The sequence below is a fragment of the Homo sapiens genome, chromosome 11, assembly GCF_000001405.40.
Source record: "Homo sapiens chromosome 11, GRCh38.p14 Primary Assembly".
Taxonomy (NCBI): domain Eukaryota; kingdom Metazoa; phylum Chordata; class Mammalia; order Primates; family Hominidae; genus Homo; species Homo sapiens.
Genome location: NC_000011.10, coordinates 30,009,579 through 30,018,706, shown reverse-complemented (window position 1 = coordinate 30,018,706; position 9,128 = coordinate 30,009,579). Strand labels below are relative to the sequence as shown.

Here is a 9,128-nt window from a genome sequence, read left to right as displayed (position 1 = left end):
AGCCCAAGGTCGGATTTGCTCCAGCAGTCCGGGGCATAGCGCTGCCACTGCCTGCTTGGTCCATCGGGCGAGCTGGGAGAGGTGTCTAGGGAGACCCCGTCGCCACGTGGGCTTCTGGTTATTTGTGTGTGTGTGTGTGTGTGTGTGTGTGTTTGTTTGTGTGTGTGCGCACGCGCTCGCGTGTGTGGGAGTGGGGTGGAGATGGACAGCAAAACCCTTTTTTTTTTTTTTTTTTTTTTAAATGGAGGTGGGCAGTGGGAGAGATCACTAAGATAGAGTCCTCCCGGGAGCCAAACCTCTCGCCCGGTTGATTCTGGCAAGCCTGAGACAGGCAAACTGTCTACTTTCCTGTTTTGATGTGGTCCGAAGAAATAAACAAGAAACAAGGAGAGACCCTTCCTCAAACTGTAACTCCAGCCAATTAGCATGAAAAGCTCAAGAAGCTATTAACCAGAAGTTTCGGCTTTAGGGGACCAGGGACTTGCCCGAGGCCCTGGCATGCGCGGCGGCTAGGTTTAACTTTCAACTCATAGTGACCTTTTCCTTAATTTAATGCAAAAAATCTTTCCCAGAGGTGGAGATTTAAGATGCTAATGATACATACGTCCTATGAAGAAGCATGTTAAACCACCATGCATGCACCAGAAAAACTCCACCTCTACATGCCCTGTCTATAGTTCTCCTTATTTCCCCTTACGGGAGAGGCCCGTAAAAGAAACCCACACCCTGACTTCGAGGAACAGCCCACTTTTTTTTTTCTTGGTGTTAGCTCCCTTGTGCGCACAAGCTTTAATTAAAAGAAAGAAAGAAAGAAAACCAAAAAAACTTGCTTTTTGCTGCGATATCCCTTGATTTCTGTCCTGAAGGATCCAAAGAGCCCTCAGGGAGTCGATACCAGAGCCGTATTTGTTTTTGCAGCAACAGGTTGGCTGCGGGCTCTTCCCCCGCCTTCCAAAGCCCTCAGCCCCTGGCCCACCCTGCAACTTACTCATCTCTCCAACCCTCCTCCCCTAGAACTGCTGCCTCCTGTGCGCAGCCCCTAGCCTGGGCCTGATTCCAATTTCTGTAACATTCCCCTGCCCGGGATTGAATACAGGTTGAAAGTCGGTCTCCTCCGCGCCCCTGAGGCCCAACCCCGGCGCTGAAGCCTCCCAACTCCTGTGTGCAAAGGAGACGGAGACTGAGGGATCTGGGCGCTCTGGCAGGCACAGGAGGGCTCCCCGCCCGTGGCCTCGCCGGAGATGCACCCGGCTCCCAACCCAACAAACCCGCTTTGGGAGGGGATGGGGTGGGGAAAAGAAGACGGGGCTCGGGGCTCGAGGGGAGATATAGAGAAAGCAAGTTAGGTAGAGGAGATGTCCCAGAGGACCCCATTTTCGGGACTGCACCTCCCATTGGAGCTCCCCGCTCCCAAGCCCTCTGGGGACTCCCGCGCTGCCGTCGAAACCCCTATTCCGGCCCCAACGGGGACACTTCTCCAGGATTTGCTCCTCGCCTGTGGGGACCACAGCCAAAGACTCCTGGAATCGATCCCAGATCCTGGGAGTCGGGGGGCCCAGCCGGGGTGCGGGGAGTCGCGGCGTCGTGACTGCACCCGCCCCGCCGCGCCGGGAGGCGCCCCTGGCGACCGTCGCGAACGCCACACCCTCGGTTCGGCCCTGGCCCCGCCCCCGCCCAGAGCGCGTTCGCGGCCAGGGGAGGCGTGTGCTGCTCCCGCAGCCAGCGAGAGCGAGAGAGGGATGGATGTTGGAGGAGGAATTCGGGCTTAACAAGTGATCGCTGCTGTCTAGGATTTTGTTTCTTTTCGGGGGAACCTTGACTTCCTTTCCCAGGCAATCCCTCCTGTGCTGAACTCCAGAGGAACCAGGAGTCTTGGGGTCTTCTCTGGGGCAGCCCCAACCCCCACCCCCAGGCTCCAGCCGCGAGGACTCTGTGCACCCCTCGGGCCAGGCAACAGAACTTGTTCCGTGGATATTTGGAGCCTCCACCTGCCAAACCCGAGTGATTCCTTTTACCACCCCCCGCCCCCCACCCAGGATCATTCTTCCCCTCCTCCAGCTGTTGCAGCTTGAGGGGGAAAAACAAGCCAGCCGGTGGATTTTCTTTATTTTTATTTTTCGCCCCGCCGGGGAACGGTAAGTATGATACCTTTTTTTTTTTTTTTTTTTTTTTGTATCTTTCCTCTACCTTCTTATTTTGGCTGTTAAGAAACAGTGGACATTTGAGGGATAAATAATATCGGGAATGTGACAGAAGGGCATGAATGGAAGGCGGTTAAAAATAAACCAGGAGGTGGGAGAAGGGAGGTGCGGATGCTGCGCGGCGCTCCGGGGGGCCAACAGTTGTTATTTTCCCAAACCCGGGGATGCGGTGAGTGCGCCCTGCTTAACGTGCTGGAGCGGGAACCGAGGTCTGGAGGCGAGGGCGCGATTAAAGATGTCGTTTCCCAACGAGAGGGGGGTTAAGATTTAGCATCGTTTCGCCTCCTCCCAGCCGCACCGGTTCCCTTCTTTTGGGAACAGCCGGTGAACGGGTCTGAATTGCTGCCTCTTCCAACGTTTGGATTTGCGTGCATTTTCCGAGCATTTGAGCAACATACATAGGGGCTGCATAAATGGCGTGCGTTGAAGTGTATATTTCTCACGGTGGTGGCTTTTCTGATTCCCTCTCTCAGTTTCTCTCTCTTTCTCTCTCTCTCTCTCTCTAAGGTTCAGGTACCACCCTGACAGTGACACAGTTGCAGGAATTAGCACTGAGAGACGAACAGCCTTGTTGTTGGAGGGGTGAGAGGAGGAGGGGCGGGATGCTTGGCTGTTGTTTGGGGGCGCCGGGATTGGGGAATAGGTAGTCTGCAAAATCCTATTAGTTTAATGGTGTTAAAGAAGAAGACAAATTCCTCTGCAAAGATCTCTCTCATAAAGGCTCCTGGGAATTGGCTTGAATAGATTCTCCTAACAAGAGTACCTTGAGAAAGAAGAGAGATTTTAAACCAGTCTGATTTGCTGGGAGGAATGATTTTTCTTTTCTCTTCTTTTCTTTCTCTCTCCCTTTCTTTCTAGATCAGGGATAGTGAAGTAACTAGTAGATGATTAAAAGGAAGGCAATTTGCTACTTGTAGGGTGGAGGAGGGAGTTAGATAAACAAAAACTAACAATCCCAAATAAATAAATAAATGTGAAATTATTTGGTGTAGAGCAGAAAGAGGGCAGTTCTAGAACTCCCGAAGAGCTGATGGTGAATTAGAAGACTCGCTAATTCATGACCTTCTGGGAGTCAGTTGGGTGGGAAGGCAGTGTGTGTAGTATTCAACTATACAGGAACTTGGGTTACATTGGGGCTTCATTGAAATTATAATTGTTTTAGGGGAGTTGGGGAAGAAACTGAGCAAACTCTCAGGCTATTTGGTCTGTACCGGTCTTGAAAGGATGTTGGCCTGACACTCCACTGCGAATGTCACCCCAGGATGGTTTTGTAAGTAGGGATTTGGAAACTCCTTGAGGGTAAACATTTCAGAGTATGAGATGATGTTAGGAGTCAGGCAAAGGAAGGGAGATGGCATGTGAGATGCCCTCTGTGGTGTATTTTCTGGAGTTTGTGTTGCAATCAAATGCCCTTCTTGCCCTAGGAAAATATATATGATTGGGAAGGGGTGTATGATTGGGAAGACCTCTGTTTGCCACTTCCATGCTTGTCACTTCATAAAATTCAGTGTGTTTAGGCTTTTAGGCTGACAGGATCAGCAAGGAGCAGCAGGTGGTCAAGAGCTGAATCCTGTTAATGGCTTCAGAAAGCCATTTCTCTTATGCTTTCCAAGTGCTTCCAGTAATAGAAGCTGGTAGATGCCCTGAATTCTGACTATCATCATTCTCTCCAGTTCTCTGGGTTACTCCCTGCATTCTTGGAAGTCCTGTTGAACAGAGTACATGGAAAAATCAAGAGGAGACAGGAGATTTGGATGGGGGCTTTTACAGGGCCTGGCTGAGGAGATGAATTACCTGGATCTTGGGAGAGCAAACTAAGGAAGAAGAAGGGCCAGGAATAACAGGTGACAGAGGGAGCAGATCGGAGCTGCAAGGGACATGCAATTCAGAAGTGTGAGATTGTAAATAAAAGTGGGCAGAGAGAGAGAAAGAGAGAGGAGGGGGGATGTTAGGGATGTGGATTTTATTGAAGTGGGGGTAAGTATGATAGGCTAAGAATGAAGTCCACAGAAACTGACATTTAAAAAAATAAGGAGATAGTCCCTTGAGCAGAGTGGAGGAGGAACCATTGAGGTGAACATGGAGTGACCGCCAAGGAGAGAAGATGGTTATTAGAGATGTGGAAATTGGCATTAGTTCCTAGTCTGTGGGTGGTAGGGAGTGTTCAGGATTCAAGGGAACAGAAAAACAATGGGGACATGCTGTAGGGAGTCAGGCAGTGCCAACTTAACAAGGGCCATTGGTGAGTCTCAGGATGTCTTGTATGTCCTCACGTCCCATCTTCCCCTACTTTAGTTTGTGGCCTAAGGACACAAACACTTGGGGCTGTGTAGATAGACAATAAAAACATAGGTTGCTGTTATGTTATTCATAACTGCCAGTGTTTATTGCCATTCATTAGGTAAAAGGCACTGAGATATTCTATCAACATCCATTATCTCATTTAATCCTTACAAACATGGGATGGGGGAGGTTGTGTTATTATTTGTACTTTATAGATGAGGTGACTGAAGTGCATTCAAGTGGTGCTGTCTGCACAAAGAATAAGAATATTATTATTTTTTTTTCTGACTTCCCCAGTGCTGAGTCAAGATAGAGAGGAGTAGAAGGGCACTTAATTCAGAAACACTTTATGAGTGGAAATTTTAAAAATTGCCTTGAAATAGATGAATGATGGAAGCAGCTGTAAAGTCACAGCATTATTTTTTGTGGAATGAAGAGAGTGACAGTGAGAATTAAGACCTAGCATTGGTGAAGGGGAAGATAGAAGCAAGAGCCATGTGGGCCATGAGTGGAGAGAGGAAAAATAATTGAGTTACCATAAAAATAAACTGAGCTGAAATAATAACTGAAGAAGGAAAGAATGATGTTTAGTGAGTGAGAATAGCCTGCCCCATACTCTTGAAAATATTGGTGCTTGGTGTGTTATATGACTTTCTTGAAGAAAAGAGAAGGATGTGTATGTGAAGAGAAATGCTCAGTTTGCTCTTTATGATTTGTTTCCTTTTTATTTTTCTCCTATGCTTCTTTCCAATCCTTTTTCAGGTGAAGTGCTTCTTCTGCATGATTTTGGCTGAAGAATGCTCTGCATTTCCTTGATTTCTATGGAGACCTCAGAGCTGGTTTTGCTTCTGCTGACACCTCATCTAGCACCTTCTCTACCTCCCAGGGTCTTTGCCTCTATCTGTGGTTTGGCATTGTACCTGGGTACAGGAAGCCTTTGATGAACTTAAAAGGAGAGCCTGGAGAATCATCCTGATAGACTTTGAGTAGAAATGGCTGGACATACTTCAAACCACATCTTAACATGGTTCGAGCCATCACTAGAAGGCAAGTGCTAACAGTAAAGGCTTATTTGCATTTTATTTACATTTAATGGACTGAGCATTGGCCAATTTCCATGGCAGAAAAATATATTTCATTTTCTAGGCACAACTTCTGGCTGTCAGACACTTGCTGCCTTTGAATCTTGCAGCAACATCACTAACCACATCCCAGACATATTTCCAAATTTCAACATCTACCCCCAAAACATAGGTGTCTGAGAGACTCCAGCATTTTCGGACTTCTTAGTCTTGAGAGTGCCAGGCTATTTATCTCGACCAGCCAAGCTCTGGAGAGCAATGTTGAATCCCTGAGAAGAGAGAGCATGGGGCGTGCTGATTTAAAAACAGAAAATGCAAAGTTGGACTGAAAATATCCTTAGTCTTCCAAGCAATCTGCTTAAGGGTTCCAAACTTACCTTAATTTGGTGAGAAAAGAAGCTGCCCTATTTTTCTTTCTTCTTCTTCTACAACTGGAACCAGCCATTTCCGAAAACCACCACCATGGAGGTTGCAATGGTGAGTGCGGAGAGCTCAGGGTGCAACAGTCACATGCCTTATGGTTATGCTGCCCAGGCCCGGGCCCGGGAGCGGGAGAGGCTTGCTCACTCCAGGGCAGCTGCAGCAGCTGCTGTTGCAGCGGCCACAGCTGCTGTCGAAGGTAGCGGGGGTTCTGGTGGGGGCTCCCACCACCACCACCAGTCACGCGGGGCCTGTACCTCCCATGACCCTCAGAGCAGCCGGGGTAGTCGGAGGAGGAGGCGACAGCGGTCTGAGAAGAAGAAAGCCCACTACCGGCAGAGCAGCTTCCCTCATTGCTCTGACCTGATGCCCAGTGGCTCTGAGGAGAAGATCCTGAGGGAGCTGAGTGAGGAGGAGGAAGATGAGGAGGAGGAGGAAGAGGAGGAAGAGGAGGGAAGGTTTTACTATAGTGAAGATGACCATGGTGATGAGTGTTCCTACACGGATCTGCTGCCTCAGGATGAGGGCGGTGGCGGCTACAGTTCAGTCCGCTACAGTGACTGTTGTGAACGTGTGGTGATAAATGTGTCAGGCCTACGCTTTGAGACCCAAATGAAAACTCTGGCCCAGTTTCCAGAGACTTTGTTGGGAGACCCTGAAAAGAGGACTCAGTACTTTGACCCTTTGCGCAATGAGTATTTTTTTGACAGGAACCGCCCCAGCTTTGATGCCATCTTGTATTATTATCAATCAGGAGGCCGCCTGAAGAGGCCAGTCAATGTCCCCTTTGATATCTTCACTGAGGAGGTGAAGTTCTATCAGTTGGGGGAGGAGGCCCTGTTGAAGTTTCGGGAGGACGAGGGCTTTGTGAGAGAAGAGGAAGACAGGGCCCTCCCCGAGAATGAATTTAAAAAGCAGATTTGGCTCCTCTTTGAATATCCAGAGAGCTCCAGTCCTGCAAGGGGCATAGCCATTGTGTCCGTCCTGGTCATCTTAATCTCCATTGTCATCTTTTGCCTGGAAACCTTGCCTGAGTTTAGGGACGACAGGGATCTCGTCATGGCACTGAGTGCTGGCGGGCATGGTGGGTTGTTGAATGATACTTCAGCACCCCATCTGGAGAACTCAGGGCACACAATATTCAATGACCCCTTCTTCATCGTGGAAACAGTCTGTATTGTATGGTTTTCCTTTGAGTTTGTGGTTCGCTGCTTTGCTTGTCCCAGCCAAGCACTCTTCTTCAAAAACATCATGAACATCATTGACATTGTCTCCATTTTGCCTTACTTCATCACACTGGGCACTGACCTGGCCCAGCAACAGGGGGGTGGCAATGGTCAGCAGCAGCAGGCCATGTCCTTTGCCATCCTCAGAATCATTCGTCTGGTCCGAGTATTCCGGATCTTCAAACTCTCCAGGCACTCCAAAGGCCTGCAGATCCTGGGCCACACCCTCAGAGCCAGCATGCGGGAACTGGGCCTTCTGATCTTCTTCCTCTTCATTGGGGTCATCCTCTTTTCTAGTGCTGTGTATTTTGCAGAGGCGGATGAACCTACTACCCATTTCCAAAGCATCCCAGATGCATTTTGGTGGGCTGTGGTGACCATGACAACTGTGGGCTATGGGGACATGAAGCCCATCACTGTAGGGGGCAAGATTGTCGGGTCCCTGTGTGCCATTGCGGGTGTCTTAACCATTGCTTTGCCAGTGCCAGTGATTGTCTCTAACTTTAACTATTTCTACCACAGAGAGACTGAAAATGAGGAACAGACACAGCTAACGCAGAATGCAGTCAGTTGTCCATACCTCCCCTCTAATTTGCTCAAGAAATTTCGGAGCTCTACTTCTTCTTCCCTGGGGGACAAGTCAGAGTATCTAGAGATGGAAGAAGGAGTTAAGGAATCTCTGTGTGCAAAGGAGGAGAAGTGTCAGGGAAAGGGGGATGACAGTGAGACAGATAAAAACAACTGTTCTAATGCAAAGGCTGTGGAGACTGATGTGTGAATCTTTTTCCACCTGCCACTGCTCCCCCCTCAGCATCTCCAAATATATTTATGCATAGAGAGTGCAGTTATGAAAATGAAATATGCAAATGATCCAATGCATACAGTAGTACACTATTTAATGGTTATACATGGCATAATTGTTACTAAACTTGTATTACATATCAAATAAATGATACATCTTGGAGAAGAGGGAGGAATAGGAGCAAATCTATCTTTATATTTTTATTAGAATGCAAGAATTTTGCACATTAACTGGAAAAGATGTTAACAGTAAAGATGGAGAGAGAGAGTGTGTGCGTGTGTGTGTATATGTGTGTGTGTGTGAAGTAAATTGTCAATGTTAGTAATTGTGCAGTGAAGGGAAAAGTTGGCATTTTGAAGTATTTACTATGTAAGAACTAATGAATCTGAGCAGTCATTTATCAGTGCTTTAACAGCATATCGTATGTCTTTGGATTCTGTAGTTGTTTTTTAAAAATTGTAAGAAATACTGTGTAGAGAAAAAAGAAAGTAAATTATTTAATAGACTATAGGTCACAATTTTATCTTGGATTTAATTAAAATTTATTTTTAACTGGAAATTAACTTTTAAAAAGGCTGCAAGGGCCTTTAGAAATTGATTATATTTTGTTATTAATTTTGGGAAGACTTAACAGCAAATGTCTAACATTATAGAATAAGTGAAATTGGAGAATATGTAATAAGTTTTGTTTGCAGGTAACAGGACTGGATTTTTTTTTCTTTGCACTACTTTATATGCTGGAGATTGAGAGAGACTTCAAACTGTGAATGTTTACTAATGTAACAGTTCAATGACAATCATTGGAAGAATGATTTCTTTAGTCTTATTTTATTGTTTTCTTTTCATTGTGTGAGACTAATGATCATGCAGATAACATCACAGGATTCTCTCCTCTTTTAAAATCTAAATAACTGATTGACAAAGGAATTATGAAGTAAAATTTAGCAACTGAATCTTTTGAAATTGGTCTGTTAGAATGATGCTTCTGAAATCATACTATTTTATATATTCTTCTGCCTTTTAACTCCAGAATAATTTAACCAAAGTTAATGCATGCACTGAAAGAATTCTTGAAGAAGATGCCAAGCAGCTACAGTGATTATGGCTTAAAATT

General features: G+C 46.7%; 1 protein-coding gene across 1 annotated transcript; it reads left to right on the top strand.

Moving 5' to 3' along the window:
- KCNA4 (potassium voltage-gated channel subfamily A member 4) lies at positions 1,677-8,977 on the top strand. Its single transcript, NM_002233.4, has 2 exons — positions 1,677-2,135; positions 5,247-8,977. Exon 2 carries the CDS (start codon positions 6,029-6,031, stop codon positions 7,988-7,990), a length of 1,962 nt encoding a protein of 653 aa, NP_002224.1. The 5' UTR covers positions 1,677-2,135; positions 5,247-6,028; the 3' UTR covers positions 7,991-8,977.